This window comes from Homo sapiens, chromosome X, assembly GCF_000001405.40.
Source record: "Homo sapiens chromosome X, GRCh38.p14 Primary Assembly".
Classification (NCBI taxonomy): domain Eukaryota; kingdom Metazoa; phylum Chordata; class Mammalia; order Primates; family Hominidae; genus Homo; species Homo sapiens.
Window position 1 is genome coordinate 39,767,221 of NC_000023.11, and position 20,826 is coordinate 39,788,046.

At 46.9% G+C, this 20,826-nt stretch overlaps 1 long non-coding RNA gene and 2 pseudogenes across 2 annotated transcripts in view, besides 2 other annotated features; 1 reads left to right on the forward strand and 2 right to left on the reverse strand.

The window, feature by feature from the left end:
* Positions 5,147 to 5,779: an enhancer, noted in NCBI's record as "OCT4-NANOG-H3K27ac hESC enhancer chrX:39631621-39632253 (GRCh37/hg19 assembly coordinates)". NCBI's record gives its function as "activates a minimal SCP1, AML or CMV promoter by ChIP-STARR-seq in naive H9 embryonic stem cells {active_cell/tissue: H9 hESC(naive)}" and the evidence as "EXISTENCE:reporter gene assay evidence [ECO:0000049][PMID:30033119]".
* Positions 6,911 to 20,826, forward strand: part of LOC105373177 (uncharacterized) — a 34,303-nt gene continuing 20,387 nt past the window's right edge. For both annotated transcript variants that reach the window (XR_949024.3, XR_001755829.2), the window contains exon 1: positions 6,911 to 7,233. This is a non-coding gene — a long non-coding RNA (uncharacterized LOC105373177). The remainder of the gene's footprint in view (positions 7,234 to 20,826) is intronic.
* Positions 10,727 to 11,228: an enhancer, noted in NCBI's record as "H3K4me1 hESC enhancer chrX:39637201-39637702 (GRCh37/hg19 assembly coordinates)". NCBI's record gives its function as "activates a minimal SCP1, AML or CMV promoter by ChIP-STARR-seq in primed H9 embryonic stem cells {active_cell/tissue: H9 hESC(primed)}" and the evidence as "EXISTENCE:reporter gene assay evidence [ECO:0000049][PMID:30033119]".
* Positions 19,304 to 19,593, reverse strand: RN7SL732P (RNA, 7SL, cytoplasmic 732, pseudogene; annotated as a pseudogene).
* Positions 19,711 to 20,608, reverse strand: GAPDHP1 (glyceraldehyde-3-phosphate dehydrogenase pseudogene 1; annotated as a pseudogene).

Consider the following 20,826-nt stretch of genomic DNA (forward strand, 5'->3'; position numbering starts at 1 on the left):
GCTGGGCGTCCCCCAGGAACCTGCAAGACAGACTTGACGGATACTTACTGCTGTGTCTGGGTGGCTGCTTTCAGCTCTGGGGTGGGGGTGGGGGCGGGATGGGGAGGAGAAGAGAGACAACCCAGAGATTTCAGTCCCGGAGCACAGGCCACATGAGCTCCGTTTCCACTTCATTTTAAAAATGCATCTACCCTCCTTCTTTCAGGCATGCAGATACTGAATTATAGGCTATTAGCCCTGGAAGGCACCTTAAAAATTATCTGTTCCACACATTTCCCCTTGCCCCCTGCACACACACACACACCCACCACACCACGCTGTTCACTTTATAAACCAAGGAACAGGCTGAGAGAGAGAACAGGACCTGCCCGTGTGGCACAGACCTGGAACTAGAATTCACGGCTCCAAACCACGAGGCCAGTCCTTTCTCCGACATTGCACAGCCTCATAAATGACGTAAGATTTTGGCATCGTAACCATCTGTCTCAGGGTAAGGACCGGTGAAAAATAAAATTGCAAATTCTTTTCTATTCCAAACCATCACTTGATTAAGTGAGGGGATTGAGGCCACCGCAGCTGCCCACTTCCAGGGGGCTTGGTTCACACTGGTTTCCCTGGAACTGGCACAACCCGACGATCTGTGGCAGAATTCTTGTTTGTTTTTGTTTTCAAAGACTCCTTGAGAAATCCTAGAAGTAGTGTGGGGTAAAGAGTGGAAGCCTCCCATTTTCCATCAGCATCACAGACAATTCCTCAAAGATGCTCCCTGGATTGAGGCTGCTCCTTTGCCCAAGGAATCTCTCCCGCTGCTTTTCACGACAACAAACTGCTTGGGATACAAGGTCCTTCAGTTACTTGGGACAGACAAGGAGCTGGAACAAACATCCCCTACATCTCCATGGCTTAATGGAATGTGCAAAAGGCTTATTTCTTGCCCACTTCACATCCCAACCAGGCATTCCAGCAACAACCTTCCATGGGGTGATTCAGGGACCCAGGCTTCAGGCTTCTTCCATCCCGTGGCAAAGAGCACTACCAACTTCAATATGTGTCTTCCAAAGTCAAAGTAGAACAGAAACAGAAAATGGAGGATCCTGAGTGGAAGATTTTTGGTTCAGGCACATCACTTCTACCTACTTTCCATAAGCTAGAACTCAGTCACATGGCCCTCACCTAACTTCAAGGAAGGTTGGGAAATGCAGTCTAGCAGGGAACCTAGGAAGCTGGAAAAATGGGTGTGGCAGGAACAGAGTAACCCTACCAGTCTTCAGTGTCTTACTATTGTCTTATTAAAAGTTCTTTTGGGCCGGGCACGGTGGCTCACACCTGTAATCCCAGCACTTTGGGAGGCCGAGGCAGGTGGATCACAAGGTCAGTAGTTCGAGACCAGCCTGGCCAACATGGTGAAACCCCATCTCTGCTAAAAATACAAAGAAAAAAAAATTAGCCAGGCATAATGGTGGATGCCTGTAATCCCAGCTACTCGGGAGGCTGAGGCAGGAGAATTGCTTGAACCCGGGAGGCAGAGGTTACAGTGAGCCAAGATCACGCCACTGCACTCCAGCCTGGGCGACAGAGCAAGACTCTGTCTCAAAAAAAGTAAATAAATAAATAAATAAAAATAAGTTCTTTTGGTTGCATGAGACAAACTAGCTTATGTGGGGCAGGAAAATATTGGATGGAGATGACCAAAAAGATGCTGGATACCTCACAGAATCCAAAGGAAAGCTGACCAAGCAGATTCAGGAGGGCCACATGAGGGAGTGGAGACCATCAATCACTTCTCATTCTATAGGACCCCATGGTTTTTGACTGTTTTCCTTTGCCTTCTTCATTCATTCAACAAATATTATTGAGCACCTACCATATGCTAGGCCTGGCTTCACAGCAGTGAACCAAACAGACCAACTCCCAGTGCTCCTGGAGCTGACATTACGCTCAATTCTCTCCCTGCAAACTGTTTTATTTCTTCTTTGTGCCCATGGTCCTGAGGATCGCTTTGTCATTGTGCTGGATATAATGGTGCTGGCACTTCCAGTCCTCCTCTTGCAGGGCTGTGGAGGGGCCATGTTGTCCTGTGGCTTCTCCAATTGCTATTTCTGCCCCTCTCCCCAGCTGGTGACCCCATCTTCTACCTACAGGATGCCTGGACAACTGGTTTATGCAGTCACTTGTGAGAGAGGGGATTCCTGTCCATCATTCAGACCAAGTGCCTTACTTTGGGTTCCCCTAAAAGCAGACCCAGAGACAGGATTTGGGTGTCAGTGGTTTATTTGGAAGTGAGCCCAGGAAGCACCAGTAAGGAAATGAGAAAGTGAGATGGGGAGAGGAGAAAGGCCAATAAAGGGTGAGTGTTTGAGCTGGTTACTACTGTGGGCAACTGGAGCACAATGCTACCGCACACTTCTGAGAGACAGCATGGAACATATTTCTGAATTGACCCACCAAGGGCAAAGAAGCTCACTATTTCTCCATCAACTCTTTGATGGTCATTGCTTGAGGGAGGTTAACTCCCCTACAGCTCCAGGCCTGCCCCACAGGCAGCCAATCACAGAATGCCCTCAAGCAGAAAGACTTAGGAAGCTAAGAGTGGGGCAACTAACAGTTACCGATACCCAGAGACCAAAGCTCAGTTCCTCCAAGTGTGGTCCAGGACCCTCCACTCAGAAATCACTAGTGCATAATGCATGCATAAAGTGCATAATGCAACTCATTATGTACTTCCCCAGCTCCACAGACCTTCGGGTTCAGAGTATCTGAGGAGGGACTGTAGCAGACACTTATTACACACTCTCTACGTGAGTGATGCCCATCAAAGATTGTGACTCAAGAAAAACATCCAGGCTGGGCGCGGTGTCTCATGCCTGTAATCACAGCACTTTAGGAAGCCGAAGCAAGTGGATTGCTTGAGCCTAGGAGTTCGAGACCAACCTGGGCAACATGGTGAAACCCGACCTCTACAAAAAATACAAAAATTCTCTGGGCATGGTGGTGTGTGCCTGTAGTCCCAGCTACTTGGGAGTCAGAGGCAAGAGAATCACGTGAGCCCGGGAAGCGGAGGTTGCAGTGAGCCGAGATCACGCCATTGAGCTCCAGTCAGGGGGACAGGAGTGAAACCCTGTTTCAAACAAAAACAAAAACAAAAACATCCAAATTCCCCACCATGGCCCACAAGACCTTCCTGACCTGGCCCTGCCTATCAATTAGACCCTGTATCCACCTCTTCCTCTCTCCATATTTGGCACCCTCTGATCCAGCCACATTGGCCTTTTTGCTGAGCCCTCCAAGCATGGTCCAGCCTCAAGGCCCTGGCATTGGCTTTTCCCACCATCCTATGCGCCTCTCTCTTCCCCATCTGCCTCACCTTGTCTGGTTCTCTACTCAAAAGCCCTTCCCTGACTACCTTGTCTTAAATGGCCTCCCACACACTCTCCTTGTTCAATTTGACATCTCTCTATGCAAGCTATAGGAGACATTCATTCACTTATTTGTTTGTTGCCTGGCTTCCCCACTAGAGTGGAAGCATCCTGAGGACAGGGACCTTTGCTGCTTTGCTCACCACTCAATCATCTTGCCCAGAACTGAGCTTGGTACATTGTAAGATGCCCAGGAAATATCGGGGGAACAAACAGATTTCTATTAATTCTATGTGGGTGGAATATCTGAGTACCTCCACCAGCTTCACGATTTAACTTTAGGAGTAGTCACCTCCTCATACATGAGGAGGAAATTGGACACAAGGGGCAAGGGTGGTTTTTCCAAGGCAGCAGCCTCAGACTCTAAAAAAGAAAGCCTTTAAAACTACTTCCAACCTCACCTCACACACCCCATCAGCCCCCCAAGAACCCACACCTAACTATCCACTGACCTCTGGGACTCTCAGGTCAGGCCTACGAAGAGAGACAACGTGAAAACCAGGAACCTAGGATCTTGAGCTGGGAAATTGGGCGTGGCGGGGGAGAAGGGGTGGAAGAAGCACACTGATTTAACTCTGTATCCCCAGTCCAAAGCACCCGCAATCAGGAGTCCATAAATTAGAATGAACCCATTCTAAGCCCAGCTCAGCCTCTGTTTCCTCATCTGTAAAATGGGTACAGTACTTACCTGTGAACATTGTTGCAAGAAGTAAGGGAGTTCATTAAATTCACATGGAAATACTTAGCATAGTACTTGGTGCATGGTAAGTGCTCAATAAATGCTATCTTAGGATATCTTAGGATTCTTTTTCCTCTTACTATAGTGCACATGGCACAGGGCCTGGCACAGAGGAAGCCCCGGAAAAGGAAAGGTGGTTTTGACCTGGTCCCTGGGGTCTCTCAGGTTTGGAAGAACCCAACAGTGAAGTGGTAGTTACCACCTAAGATGAGCACAGCGAGAGGGGTGGGGAGACCCTGCCCCAGAACCCCAAGGAAAGAATCGGTGCTAACTTTACTGCTCGGGCCTTTGGGAGGATGAATGCAAGTTGGCCGAGCCACTATTCTGGTATGCTCGCACTGCAGTTCCCAAGGAGAAGGCTTGGAAAGGCTCTTACACAATTGCCATCACCCAGCAGGGCGATTTCTTATATGTACTTCACCAAGTCCCCACTTAGAAACTCTATGGAAAAGGAAGACAATTCTCACAACCTCCATCATTTCCATCTGCAACCTTAGAACTTCATACTCACTCATTTTTATGAACATTGCTCTTTGATCCAGACCCCTCAACAGGAAATTTGGGGCCAAGACATGGCCCAACTTTGTCTTTTATTTGCCCCTTTTCTGGGACCTGCCACTTTGTCGTGGTGGTCAGCTAAAAGTGGGATTTGGCAAGATCTCACAGGGGAAAGATTATGAGATTTCAGTTGCTTCTTGTGTTTCAACCTCCTTTCTGATCTGGGAGGGGGAGAAAAAACCAGCCCACGTGGGCGACTCAGAAAACAAGCCGAGATAAGAGCTTATTGACAGGCTGGGCTAGCAGGCCCTTCATTCACACCGCTTCAAAGACAAACACTTTCCGTTTGTCGATTTGTTTTAGGCCTTGCAGAATCTGCAACTCTGTGGCCTTGACTCTAAAAATAAATCTCCTGCTATAATGACGAGGCTGTTGCAAAGAGGAAGGCATGCAGAGAAGGGAAGACGGAGGGAGGCAAAGCTGAGAGCAGGCGGGAGAGAAACCGAATACCCAAACAGGAAGAAGGGACATAGGGAAATGGCCCTGGCTGCTTCCTCCCAACCAACAGCCGGCCCCGTTGCAAAAGCCAGCAGCACCGGGAGGATGCAGCCACCAGGGCCTGGGGTTTATTAGAACCCAACCCTGCAGGAGGACTGCAGGCCTATCTAGCCATTTTGCCCTCTGTGACCCTGCTACTAACTGTGGTCTACAGACTGGGCTGATCAGCTGCCTCAGTGTCACCTGGGGGCTTGTTAGAAATGCAAATTCTCCAGCCCCACCCTCGACCTGCGGAACCCGAATCTGCATCTTAACAAAATCCCTGGGTGATTCATATGCGCATTAGTTCGAGAAGCCGGGGCCGGGTCCCTGGTGTTTCACCGAATGCAGCATAGATGAGTCAAACAGCCTCTTAATACTTCTCTCTGCAAACAAGAGGTGAGCTCCTCCCCCACTGAGGGCCTTACTTCGAGAACTTTGGATAGAGGAAGATAGAGGCATCAGTTAGGTCTCTTGTGGAGCGCAGTTCATTTTGTGAGAATATTGCATTCCCCACCCACCCCCAGGATCATTAGGAATTTCTGACCCATTTTATGATCATCCAACATTCACACGGATGCAGGGTGCAAACTCATTAAAGGACTCGTTACTCCAAGGGGTCTCTCTTGGAATTGTCCTTTGGGTTCTTCCCTCCCACCCTCATTGCTTTGTTTCTCCTTTTCTGTCTGAAATGTTTCCCATCTCCTCATCTTTTTGAAACTCCATTTCATGGCCCTGATGCTGAGATTTTGATACATGCTGACACCCCCTCCCTCTTCATTCTCCCCTCCCCTTATGTCTCACTGACATATTTCAACTCCCTCCTACTGTTCTCATCAGTTCTCTGAAGAGACCATCTTTTCCTCCTCTCTGCCTTGGTGGTCATAAACTCGGTTATTTAGTGTGGATTCTGGTTCCCCTCGCTCCTGCCGAGGCCAGGCAGGTGAACAATCAGGCCATTGTTTAGATGTGGAGCAGGTGACAAATAGTTATGGTTGCTCTTTGTTGTAATTCTAAATAGTGGCTGTCACTCATCATTGACTATAAAATGTACAAATGTGAATGATAAGAAAGAACATAACTGTGCCCCATCTTATCAAATTTATTTTAGCTGTGCTTTAAAATCAATTTAATTTGTAAATTATTCATGGCATGTAGCAACTATTACAGACTTGCACTACCAAAACCTATGCTTTAAAGATTGTACTAACTTTTTCAAGGCATTCTGTAAATGCTTTTTATTATTTTTTATTATGGAAGTAATGCGTATCTATTTTAGAAAATGTGGATACTACAGATGAGCAAAAATAATTATTTTATTATTGTCACCTTTAATCCTATGACCAAGAAAATCACTGTTAACATTTTAGTATATATCATTTCAGTCTTTTTTCATTCTATACATATACACACTTACATGGACAGCTCTCTCTCTTTTTTAGTGTCGTTGTATGTGCCAGGTTGTCACCCAAAGTGGCCGCCATCAATTCCTTCCCCCCTTGTACTGGAGGCCTTCCCACCCACCGCGTTCTGGAGCAGCATCAGGTCTGCCCTCCAGAGCCAACTGTATGCATTCTTTCCGACTCTGCATTTGGTGACATCCTGTTGATAGCTTGAGATCAGCCATGCTAGAAAATGCTACCAATCAGGGTTTTGTTTTTGCTTCGTTTTTTTTCCAAGTCATGCGGTTGTTAAACATTTACCAGCATACTGCTTTGTCGTTAGATGCCCAAGGCCACCTTCGTGGGCACACGACCCGAGCAGTCACACAGGACCCTGTGATCAGAATGGCCTCACTTGGGTTTAATACTCTGCTGTCTTCATCTTAAAATTCTTAATAATTTAATGTTTGAGCCCGTGCTTTGTAAGTGAAGTCTGATGGAACAACGGAGCATGCGCGTGAGTAGAGGAGATACAGACGATACGTGTGTCTGAGTTTTTTGTGGCTCCATTAGCATATGGTGTTGATGATGCCCCCTGAGCACAGAATTCTGGTGAGCCCACAATGCATGGGAGTTCAGCGAGATTCAATGCCAGTACAAGGTAAGCATTTTATATCTATGGAGGAAGTGGGGAGCTGACAGCCCTGAGAGGCCACACTTTCCATTTGAAACAGTACTTGATTGAGACGCAAAAAAAACAGAAGGCGATGATGGCATTTGAAAAAAACACAAATGACCAAGGCACCCTCTCATATTTTTTCTTGTGTTACTTCCATGTCTTAGCCAACCACTTACACTAAAAAGAGTGACATGGAAGGAAAGGGAAAGATAAAGCAGCCCATAATCTCTTTTCCTTCCAGTCCTTTCTGACTCATCGGTAAGCTGAAGGCACAGTCTTGGTAGAATGCAAGCATAGCAAGAAGTCAAATAAAACAGTTTCCACTGTTCGGGTAAGAACAAAATACATATGCATGTATGAGCTCCGAAACACAAATTGTGTAATTTCAGTGATTCTGCATACTAGTTAAATGCTCTTATATTTGCATTTAAAACTGACATTGCACAATATATAGATAAATGGTACATTCATGTTAATAATTTACAATTTTAATTTTTCTTTACTTAGAAGCACATTAAATAGTAAATAAACACCATAAGTCAAGAGAGAGCACATGGGAGAAAGAAAAAAGCTTTATATTCCAGTGCCTGCTGTGGTTCAAATGTTTTTGTCTCCTCCAAAATTCATGTTGAAACTTAACCCCCAATGCAACAGTATTGGGGGGTGGGGCCTTTGGGAGGTGATTGAGTCATGAGGGCTCTGCCCTCATGAATGGGATCAAGTGCCCTTATAAAAGGGCTTGCGGATCACATGAGGCCAGGAGTTTGAGACCAGCCTGGCCAACCTGGTGAAATCCTGTTTCTACTAAAAATACAAAAAATAGCCGGGTGTGTGCCTGTAATCCCAGCTACTCGGGAGGCTGAGGCATGAGAATCCCCTGTACCCAGGAGGCGGGGGTTGCAGTGAGCGGAGATCCCGCCATTGCACTCCAGCCTGGGTGACAGAGCAAGACTCCATCTCAAAAAAAAGCCAGGGGGGTTGGGGGTGGGCCTTGATGGAGGGAGTTTGTCCCTTTTCACCCCTTCTGTCCCTTCTACCATGTGAGGACACAGCGTGAGGATGCAGCAATAAGGCATCATTTTGGAAGAAGAGACAGGGCTGTCACCAAACATCAAACTTGCCAGCACCTTGATCTTTAACTTCTCAGCCTCCAGAATTGTGAGAAATAAATTTCTGTTCTTTTTTTTTTTTTTTTTTTTTTTCTGAGGCGGAGTCTTGCTCTGTCACCCAGGCTGGAGTGCAGTGGCATGATCTCGGATCTCAGCTCACTGCAACCTCCGTCTCCCGGGTTCAAGTGACCCTCATGCCTCAGCCTCCCTAGTAGCTGGGACTACAGGCGTACACCACCACATCTGGCTAATTTTTGTATTTTTAATAGAGTTGTTGGCCAGGCCGGTCTCGAACTCCAGACTTAAGGTGATCCACCAACCTCAGCCTCCCAAAGTGCTGGGATTACAGGCATAAGCCACCGCGCCTGGCCAAATTTCTGTTCTTTAAAAATGACCCAATCTCAGATATTTTGTTACAGCAGCAAAAACAAAGATGGAAACTTGAATGGCATTTATTCTTGTTTAGTTTTGGTTTTGTTTTTATCATGGGACCCTTCATTTTTATTTTGCAGTGGGCCTCTCAAGTTGTGAAGCCAGCTGTGACCATGCCACTTCCCCCACTGAGGGATGGAGTCTATTCCTCTGCCTCTTGAATCTAGTCTGGCCTATGACTACTTTAACCAGTAGAATTCCATAGAAAAGGACTATGTCAGTTGCACACTTCACCTTGAAGAGGACTGGAGGTTTTCACTTCCTGCCTCTTGGAGCCCTGAGCCAGCATGAATAAAGTCTAGGCTACTCTGCTGGAGAGAGGGACATAAGGGTGTCAGACGTGTAAGGGAAGAAGCCACCTCACACACCTCAGCCCTAGCTGCCTTCTAACTGCAACCACCTGAGAGACCCCAGGCAAAAACCACCCAGCCAAGCTCTGTTGACCAACAGAATCATGAGAGATAATAAGAAATAACAATTATGTAATGCCACTAAGCTTCAAGATGACTTGTTCAGCAGTAAGAGATAACTAGAACAGTGTCCCTCCCCTTTTATAACCTGTGTTTTTAGATTTCAAAAAGAAAATTCTAGATTTATTTCTTCCAGGAAATCATAATGCTAAGTAGCAAATACTATGACGTAGTAAGAGATAACTAGAACAGTGTCCCTCCCCTTTTATAACCTGTGTTTTTAGATTTCAAAAAGAAAATTCTAGATTTATTTCTTCCAGGAAATCATAATGCTAAGTAGCAAATACTATGACGTAGTAAGAGATAAGTAGAACAGTGTCCCTCCCCTTTTATAACCTGTGTTTTTAGATTTCAAAAAGAAAATTCTAGATTTATTTCTTCCAGGAAATCATAATGCTAAGTAGCAAATACTATGACGTAGTAAGAGTAGATCTCAAAGTGTTGTGTGCCTGAGATTTATTGGGCTGGGGCGGGGGGATGGGGGGATGCATTAAAAGTGCAGCTCCAGCCGGGCTAAGTGGTTCATGCCTATAATCCCAGCATTTTGGGAGGCCTAGGCGGGCAGATCATTTGAGGTTAGGAGTTCAAGACCAGCCTGGCCAACATGGTGAAACCCCATCTCTACTCATAATACAAAAATTAGCCGGGCTTGGTGGTGGGCACCTGTAGTCCCAGCTACTCAGGAGGCTGAGGCAAGAGAATTGCTTGAACCCAGGAGGCGGAGGTTGCAGTGAGCCGAGATCACACCACAGCACTCCAGCCTGGATGACAGAGAGAGACCCCGTCTCAAAAAAAAAAAAAAGTGCACCTCCTCTGACTTCAGACCCCCAGATTCAGAGTCAGTAAATCTGGGGTTATGGCCAAGGAATCTGTATGTTTACAAGCCCCCACATGATCCTAAGGCAGGCCTTTGGTGAACCATAGTTTTCAGAACACTGTTTCAGGGAGTACCAGTCCATGGTGGCAATGGGATATTGTTTTCAGTGTCAGAAGATTCCTATAGCTGCCCCACATCGAATTTTAGTATTTGATGATGGCCTGGGTGGGTTAACTGAAATAAAGATGGCCTGCCCATCACAGAACTTTCCTCATCAGACATTTGAAAAACAACAGAGAAAGCAAAAGACAGACTACTGTTCTTACATGTTGAACAGAAACTTATTCGGTCAGAGTAAGTGTACTACTCATAGAAGCATACATGGGAGTTGAGAGAGAGACTACCAGTTTTCCGCCTGCACCAGTCTCTTCCTTTCTGTCATCATTGCCAAAAGAGACATGGGTGGCCCCAAAATGTCACTGGGTTTCAGTTCTTCAGAGGGAAATGCTTCTCCTGGCAATGACAGAAGTGCAAAAGGGCAAGCCCAACCACGCAACCACATTTCAAGCTAGAAGGACAAAAGGAGGAGATGGTAGAAATACAACCCAGAAGCTGAGGCCACCTGGCAAAAGCTGGCACCACAGAGGAGCCCCAGCTGCTGCACGGATGCCACTCAGTGCAGAGAATGGGGAAGAGTTACCCTGGCGTCCTCCTGCATCTGGCCCCACTGACTTCCATCAGTGTCTCCCATTGGCCAGGCATACCAGGAAAGCAGAGGACATGGGTGCTGGGGAAATGGAGTTCTCTGTTGAGACAAAGCAGGGTGCGAAAGGGCAGGCATGGATCTGGGAGCAAACAGGTGACTGCAACAGCATTCACTTGGCCCACATCTGTCTGCACATCCAGGCAAGGCACTGCCCAAGCACTTTAGCGGTCACTGTCATTGCCCCACCCCTATCCCCTTGGCACTGACTGAGCCCAGGAAGAAGCATCTTACTGGAGACGCTTGCAGCTCTGCCTGAGGTCGTTTCCTGGCCACAGGAGCCTGCTCGGGCTGCCCACTGGGCAGGCTGAAGGCTTGGGGAGTTGGCGTTCTGGGAGTAACCCTTCATCAACAGTGTACAGGAGTTGGTGGCTACTTACTGCAGCTTTCTCACCCCTCCAGGTCCTCAGTGGGACTGGGTCCCAGCTGCTCACAGTTCTATCTGCTCATTAGTCAACATTCTGCGTTGACTTCCTCTCCTTCCTTTTCATACCCACTCCCATTCCAAACGAACTCCTTGCATGGGTTTGTCCAGGACCTAACCCTAGGAGAAGCCAGTCTAAGACAAACACCCCAACTCAACTCACAGCCAGCATTCGTGCCTTGTTGCCAGCATGCCCCGCAGCAGCCCAGAACCAGAGTGGTGGCAGTAAACCAGCCCCCAAGGCCAGAGAAGGCAGGCCAGGGCTGGGCCTCCCTGTATCCCTCCCTGGGATTTACAACCCTCCAGCCCTATTTGGCTCCTCCCACCCACGACAGAACATCTTCCCTTTCTTTCCTTCCAAGACAGGAAGAGCAGGATGAGAGAGGCTCAGGGACCCCCAACAGTAGAAGTCAAGGGCAGACTTGGGCGTGGAACATTCTCCCACAATCTCTATCCCATTCCCACTGCCACGCCCCATGATCTGCCCCCAGCACCCCACGAGAGGCCGCTCCTCCTCAGAGGGGAGTGAGTTAAGTGTCGCATTACCAAGGAACTGCCACAGTAGCCACCAAAGTGACTGCTCGTTATTTGAACACTTTCTTCTATTTGACTGAATACAGGAAAAATGTCACAAATAGAATATTCATCATCCCCCTCGCGCGCCTTTTCTTCCCGGCTTATCTCCCTGCTGTCATGTATGAATCCCGGCTTCAGGTTCATTTGGTATGTTGAGTGCATGCCCGGGGAGAGGATGCGCTGAAAGGCTTGCGCACATGCTCCGTGCCGCGCGACAGCCCTCCCTCCCCACTGGTGACACCCCACCAGACAAACGCCACTCACAGTGACCCTCAAGGGTAGGACACCGTCTGCCTAAGTGGAGGGGCCTTCTGCTCCATGCAGAGGGAACATAAAGGACCTGAGGAGCCTTCACAGCCATTTAGTGATTCTCGGCATGTCACTTTTACAGACACCTCAGCTTCCAGAGCTTTTATCCTCAGGTGCTTCTTAGAAGACGCAGGATGGCATCCCCACCCCACTTCAAACACCGTCTGTTTCAAGATCCTCAGAGGGGCTAACGCCGCCTGCCAATTTCTCAGCTAGAGTCATCAGCGTGCAGCGTCTCTCTCTGCCTCCTTTCCATCAGTGCCAGAGACTCCCCCAGCCCGCTCCTCCTCCAGCCAGGCCCCATCCTGCAGATTGCCATGTCAGGCTGCAGGGAACACGTTTCTAGGACTGGAAAATCAAAGTACTTATTGCCCTGACAATTAGATATTATGTTCAACTGCAGTAACACAAACCTGAAAACCAATGGCTTAAACAAGGGAGGGTTTTTTTTTCTTCTTTTTCTCCAGTAATATCATTCCAGAAGTGGGCCAGCAAGGGCTGATATGGCCAATCTACGAGGCCACCAAAGACCCAGCCTTTTTCTCCTTCATTCTTAGGATATGACCATCACCCCATGCTCTTATTAATAAGACGGCCACTGAAACTCCAGCCATCACATCCAAATTCCTCACAGGATAAAAAAAGAAGGGCAGAATGGAAGTCCCAAGCTGAATGAGCCTCTCTTATAAAGAGCTTTCCCAGAAATCCCACCCAAGAACTCCAGCCATACCTTGTTGGCAGGTCTGTGTCACATGACCATCCCTAGCTGCAAGGGAGGCTGGGAAATCTAAGCTTTTAGCTGAGCACGCTGCCATCATGCATGCAATTTCAGTTCTGTTAGTGTTATGGGCTAAGTTGCTTTCCCTCCAAATTCATACGCTAAACTCTTAACCACCCACACCTCAAAATGTGACTGTATTTGGAGATAGGGCCTTTACAGAGGTGATTAAGGTAAAATGAGGTCATTAGGTTGGGCTCGAATTCACTATGAGTGGTGTCGTTATGAAAAGAGGAAATTAGGACACAGACATGTGCATACAGGAAATACCATGTGAAGACACAGCGAGAAGACGGCCATGTGCAAGCCAAGGAGAGAGGCCTCAGAAGGAATCAACCCTGCCGAGACCTTGATCTCAGATTTCCAGCCTCCAGACTGTGCGAAAATCCATCTCTGTTGTTTAAGCCCCCCGGTGTGTGGTCCTTTGTTATGGCAGCCAGAGCAGACTAATCCAGATAGTAAGGAAGGAGAGAAGACCGGCTGTGGGTGGGCAATTAGCAAGACCTGGTGCATTTGGGGAGGCCAGGTCTTTATTACCTGGCCTTTTAAAGATATCTTTAAAGAACCTCGGCATACTTTTTCAAAGATCTCTTTTAAGATATTGTTTATCAGGTGGTGTCCTGAGGGCCTGCACCATCCCCACCCTTCCCGGCTCTCCCCAGCATTTCTCTTCCCTAGAAATGCTTGTGTAAAAACTGCGGCCTCTCTGGAATGATTTGAGAAGTACTGAAATAGCCATCCCTCCCTTCCATTGGCCATAAATAGCCTGAAAGTCTAAAGTTAGTGCTTCATTCCTTTGGTTAATCCATTATCCGTATGAAAGTGCAAATTAACTGGCAAATGATCCAGGTCTCATGAGCCCAGAGCAGGTTTGGATGGAGGGAGAGAGCACAGGACAGGGTCAGGGGTGGGAAGGGAGAACCAAAAAGCCAGAGGCCAGGAGGGCACAGAAGTCCCAGGTGGGGCTGCTACCAGCAGAGGAGTCTCTCAAACACTCTGGGCCTGTCCTACTTTGCTAAAAGGGAACATAGGAAGGTGCTGGGGTCAGGATCCAAATTTTCCCAGGGAAGACCCTGTACCTCTGCCCCATCCTAATGAAACTACATTTAGACACCACCTTTCTATACCTTCACTCCCCTGCGTTCCCTCACTTGCCCTCCAAGCTTCTCTATGGGAAAGCCCTAGAGAGTTGGATTGGGATGTCCTGCCTCCCCTTAGGTGCCCATGACACTGGTTCCCTCATGTGGGATGTCACAGACATGAGCCTCTGCCTTTGCTGAGTATGACAGAATATCTTGAAGAATTCTTTCAGAAAATGTTAAATTTCCCAAGTCTTTTTTTTTTTAATATAGAGATGGGGTCTCACTATGTTGCCCAGTTTGGTCTCTAACTCCTGGGCTCAAGCGATCCTCTGGGATTGCAGGCATGAGCCACCACACCCGGCCCCAAGTCTTTTATTTACTCATTTATTTATTTTCTCTTTTGAAACAGGCTCTATCACCCAGGCTGAAGTGCAGTGGCACTATCACTTCTCACTTGCAACATCAACCTCCCATGCTCAGGTGATCCTTCCACCTCAGCTCCCACCTCACCTCCCACCTCAGCTCCCACCTCACTTTCTACCTCCCACATGAGTAGCTGGGACTACAAACACACACAACCACGCCCGGCTAATTTTTGTATTTTTTTGTAGAGACAGGGTCTCTCTATGTTGCCCAGGCTGCTCTTGAACTCCTGGCCTCAAGGGATCCATCTGCCTCAGCCTCCCAAAGTGCTGGGATTATAGGTGTGAGCCACTGTGCCTGGCTCCAAGTCTTGTCTTTTCTTTTTTTTTTTTTTTTTTTTAGATGGAGTCTTGCTCTGTCGCCCAGGCTGGAGTGCAATGGCATGATCTCGGCTCACCACAACCCCTGCCTCCCGGGTGCAAGCGATTCTCCTGCCTCAGCCTCCCATGTAGCTGGGATTACAGGTGTGCACCACCAAGCCCAGCTAATGTTTTTTGGGGTTTTTTTGTTTTTTTGTTTTTTTTTTTTGTATTTTTAGTAGAGACAGGGTTTTGCCATGTTGTCCAGGCTGGTCTCATACTCCCGACCTTCTTGGCCTCCCAAAGTGCTGAGATTACAGGCATGTGCCACCATGCCTGGCCCCAAGTCTTTTCATGTCCAAAAATATATTTAATTTGCCCTCCCACTTGAATATTAATTGGCCAGTGTGCTGGCATTTACTTGTTATCACTCCACACTATACCTGCCCTTTTAAACTCAGCTCCATAGCGCTGGGGCTAGGAGCCTGCAAACTACATTTCCCAGCTGCCTTCCTGTTAGAGTCAGCCAAGAGGGGGCACTGGGAGGAGATGGAAAAGCAGGAGGAATGGAAAAGCTTCCAGCTTCTGGTTCCAACAGGGTGTCGTTGCTCAAATCTCAAGACGATTGTCCTCAGAAGTTTGAAGACCTCACGCCATTGTCTTCTAGCATTCCCACTGAGGTCTTTAACACCCAGTTACTACATTTCCACCCAGTTACTACATTTCATCTTTCTGGAGGATTTAGACTTTTTTTTTTTTCATTACCCTTGGAGTTCAGAAATCTTGATGCCTTTAGGGATGGGCCTTTTATAATTCTTCTTGTTTGGCATTTGGTCTGTTCTTTAAATCTCAAGATGGAAGTTTTTCCCCAGCTCAGGGAAATTGTTTGTTCTGTCACTACTTAGATTATCTCCTCTCTTACAGACTCTCTGTTCTTGGCTTCTGAGAATTCCTATTAGATAGAGAGTTAAATTTCAGGTCCTGCCCCATGTCTCTTAATTTTTCTCTTACACTTAAAAAAAAATCTTTTTATCTGTTTTGCATTCTTTGAGAGAATCTCTCAACCCTGTCATCTGTTCAGTCTTCAGCCATGGTCACTTGGCTACTCAGTCTTTCCAATGAGCTTATTATGTTAGCAATTGCACTTTTTGTAATTTCAAGAACTCTGACATATTCTTTTGACAGCAGTCAGCTCTCTATTTATGGATAGTACTTCTATTTCATTTAAATATCTCTCTAGATCCTGGGAGAATTCTGTAGGGATTAGTTCTTTTGTTTGTTTAGTTTGGTGCCTCTCTTTCACGATGTTGGTTTTCCTCAAATATGTTTGATAACTCTTTACTCTCTGTTCCTGTTATAGATGAAGGTCCAGGCTTATCTATAGTGGAGGCTGCTGTGTATTTTCTACACTCCAGTGAAAAATGCCTGTTCTCATGACAGCAAAAGCAAGCGATGGTTATGAAAGCCCAAACTCATTGCTGTTTTGGTGAAGAAGGGCTTGGATCAAGCCACTTTTCCTTTTAAAATGTTTAGGTACTATCTTATTTTGAGCTGCTATGACAAAATACTATAGACTAGGTGGCTTATTAAATAATAGCAACTTTCTTAAATAATTGATTAAATAATAAAAAATAAATTATAAATAAAAAATAAGGCCAGGCACGGTGGCTCATGCCTGTAATCCCAGTGCTTTAGGAAGCTAAGAGGAGAGGATCACTTAAGATTAAGAGTTCCAGACCAGCCTGGACAACACAGCGAGACCCTGTCTCTACAAAAAATTTAAAAATTAGCTGGGTGTGGGGGTAGACACCTATGGTCTCAGCTACTCAGGAGGCTGAGGTGGGAGGATCACCTGAGCCCAGGAGGTCGAGGCTGTAGTGAGCTGTGACTATGCCATTGTACTCCAGCCTGGGCAAAAGAGCGAGACCCTGTCTCTAAAAAGAAAAGAAAAGAAAGTGGATAAACTGTGGTACATTCACACAACAGAATACTACTTAGCAAATAAACTAAATGAACTACTGGCTGCACACACAACCTAAATGAATCTCACCAATGCAGTGTTGCACACGAGAAGCCAGATTTGAGAGTCCGTACTGTATGATTCCATTTAGAGAAAGGTCAAAAACAGGCAAAATTCATCTGTGATGTTAGAAGTCTGTGTAGTGGTCACCCTTGGGGGAGGGGGAGAATAGTAACTGGGAAGGGGCATGAGGTGGGGTTCTGGGGACTTGATTATATTCAATTCCTTGTCCTGAGTGCTGGTTACACAGGTGTGCCCAATGTGTAAAAATATACTCACTGTCTGCTTATATGTATGCATTTATGTATGTATATTTTGCTTTGATTTAAAAATTAAGCTGGGTGCAGTGGCTCACACCTGTAATCCCAGCACTTTGGGAGCCCGGGAGTTTAAGACCAATCTGGGCAATAGAGTGAGACCTTGTCTCTACAATTTTCTTTTTTTTTTAAGTTAGCCAGGTGTGGTGGTGCCTGCCTGTAGTCACAGCTACTCGAGAGGGTGAAGTAGGACCATCACTTGAGCCCAGGAGGCAGAGGTTGCAGTGAGCCCTGATCATGCCACTGCACTCCAGCCTGGGCGACAGAGCGATACATTGTCACAAAAAAAAAAAAAATGACAATATATAGACAAGATTGGCTGTGGGTTCACGGTTACTAGGGCTGGATGAAGGGTACATGGGGGCTTATTACAGTGTTTAGTCTACTTTCAGGTGTTTTAAAAACTCTCCATAATAAAAGAAATTTTCTTAGGTGACCTTATTTTAAAAATACATATTTTCCCCATGGGGGTGGGGGAGGATTGTGATTATTGTTTTTAGTTGGATGATGGGGGGATAATATCCAAATGCATTGCCCTATACTTTTTTCTATACTAGCAAGGGTAGATTCCCTAGCTAGGCCCACTTCTCCATTTAAAGACCCTTCAATCTTTCTGTCACCTCTCTCCTCAGTTGCCCTCCACATCCCCAGGAAACTGGCCTATACATTCAGGGACAATTGTTTTCACAAGAAGAAAGCTGTCCAGAGCTTCCATTAGCTCCTATGTGTTTTTATTGATTTATACCTGCCTTGTTCCAAAGATGTATTTAAGGTTTACAAAGATGCATACAATAAAACAGCATAAAATAAATTAGCAGTAAATTAGAGCAAATGACGTAAAGGGAAAACAAGGAGAGGAAAATAAGATGGAGCCAAGAGTGAGGTGATTACACAAAACACCTGCCATGAAACCTACTGCACTCACTGGAGACAGAACACAAGTTTGAGGCTGAGTTCCCCAGCAGCCCAGGGGAAAAAGGAAGCCGGGTTGCACTGTGACTTATATCACTGAGCCGAGTCAGTGATATAAAAACAAAGCACAGTTGGGAGAAGCACAGTTATTCCTAACATGGAGATCAGGGAGGCAAGTTTTTGCCATAGATTATCATAAATATAGTATCACAAACAACATTCTCACATTACACAGGGCAAAAGAACACACAAGACTGTCTTAACCTCACACCACCGTATTAGTATACTGCAACAAAAGCAATGATGCTGTTCAGGGAAAACTATGCCGCAGTGACTAACAGGGGTCTTACACTAAGGTGGCTTCACAAGGGACAGACTCTGGAATATCTCATGCAAAATTTCTTAGCCTGGAAACCATGCACCAGGATTCAGGGGTTCAGGAATCCTTGGCACAGTAAGCAAAAGTGTGTGCATCTGTGCACTTTTTCCAGGACTGGGTCCATAGGTTTCATTGCATTCTCAAAGGTGTCAGTGAGTCCAAGAAAAGTGAAGAATTACCCACATGGAGGAAAAGCAGCAGCACACACTTCCAAACTTCTCCATAAACTGCTTCTCCCTCACTGATGGCACATGACTTCTTAGAGTTACCAGTGAGGTGTGGAAACGAAGGTTTGACATTCAATGAAGCTGGGGTAGGAGTCTCCTCCTATGAGGATGAGCTGATTCAGAGCCAGTCTCCAACTAGAAGGCCCCCTACCCCTGCTCAGAGAGTTGCCGGGGAGCCCCCAGGGGCTGGGTAACTTTGTGGCAATGGAGTGATGGAGGTGCCCCCGTGGTTCCAAGCCATCAAGCAGGGTTACAATAATCTCTACTGGGGAATTTTTCTTCTAATTTGAGACAATGATAACTAAACACCCACCTAAATCATTTTTTAAAAGTCATTAATCTCTGATCGTGTGACTTCCTAATGAATTCTCCAAGCTCAACTAGTATAAAATGTGTTCCAAGGTGACCCAGGTGATTAGCTGCTGGGGTTATAAGCCAAGCACCAGGTATAAATGGGGAATCTCTACCACCAACAATGGCTTCCAATCCAAAACAACTAAACGGTAGTTCTCCTTTCTGCCAATAATTAGATGGAAGTTGTTTATTAAAGCCATTGCTGGATGTCATTACTGATAATAACAATGGCTAGTATTTATTAAGCATGTATTACATGCCAGGCACTATATTTTCTTATGTGATCTTCAGAACAGTGCTCTGACTGGGCAGCTGACTAGCCCATCATTCCCATTTTTTTTTATCTTTTTTTTTCTTTTTAAGAGATCAGGGTCTCACTGTGTTGCCCAGGCTGGAGCACAGTGAGTATTCACAGGCAAGATCCCACTACTGATCAGCACGGGAGTTTTGACCTGCTCCGTTTCCAACCTGGGCCAGTTCACCCTTTCTTAGGCAACCTCGTGGTCCCCCGCCCCTGGGAGGTCACCATATAGATGCTGAACTTAGTGTGGACACTTGATCAGCATAGCGTGCTACAGCCCAGAAGTCCTTGGCTCAAGTGATCCTCCCACCTCAGCCTCCGGAGTAGCCAGGACCACAGGCATGCACCACTATGCCTGACCCATCATTGCCATTTTACAGATGGGCAATTCTAGGTTTAGAGAGGTAAAGTAATTTTCACAAAGTCAAAATGTAAGCCAAGATTTTTCTCTCTCTTTTTTTTTTTTTTGGCTGAGCACAGGGTACTTTATTGATGGTATATGACAAGGTGGGGCTCCCTAGGCCCCTCCCCTCTTCAAGGGGTCTACATGGAAACTGTGAGGAGGGGAGATTCAGTGTGGTGGGGGACTGAGTGTGGCAGGGACTCCCCAGCAGTGAGGGTCTCTCTCTTCCTCTTGTGCTCTTACTGGGGCTGGTGGTCCAGGGGTCTTACTCCTTGGAGGCCATGTGGGCCATGAGGTCCACCATCCTGTTGCTGTAGCCAAATTCATTGTCATACCAGGAAATGAGCTTGAAAAAGTGGTTGTTGAGGGCAATGACAGCCCCAGCATTGAAGGTGGAAGAGTGGGTGTTGCTGTTGAAGTCGGAGGAGACCACCTGGTGCTCAGTGTAGCCCAGGATGCCCTTGAGGGGGCCCTCCGATGCCTGCTTCACCACCTTCTTGGTGTCATCATATTTGGCAGGTTTTTCCAGACGGCAGGTCAGGTCCACCACTGACACGGCAGTGGGGACACAGAAGGCCATGCCAGTGAGCTTCCCGTTCAGCTCAGGGATGACCTTGCCCATAGCCTTCGCAGTGCCAGTAGAGGCAGGGATGATGTTCTGGAGAGCCCCGTGGCCATCACGCCACAGTTTCCCGGAGGGGCCATCCACAGTCTTCTGGGTGGCAGTGATGGCGTGGACTATGGTCATGAGTCCTTCCACGATACCAAAGTTGTCATGGATGACCTTGGCCAGGGGTGCTAAGCAGTTGGTGGTGCAGAAGGCACTGCCGACAATCTTGAGGTTGTTGTCATACTTCTCATGGTTCACACCCATGACAAACATTGGGGCATCAGCAGAGGGGGCAGAGATGATGACCCTTTTGGCTCCCCCCTGCAAATGAGGCCCAGCCTTCTACATGGTGGTGAAGACGCCAGTGGACTCCATGACGTACTCAGCGCCAGCATCGCCCCACTTGATTTTGGAGGGATCTCGCTCCTGGAAGATGGTGATGGGATTTCCATTGATGACAAGCTTCCCATTCTCAGCCTTGACGGTGCCATGGAATTTGCTATGGGTGGAGTCATATTGGAACATGTAAACCATGTAGTTCAGGTCAATGAAGGGGTCATTGATGGCAAC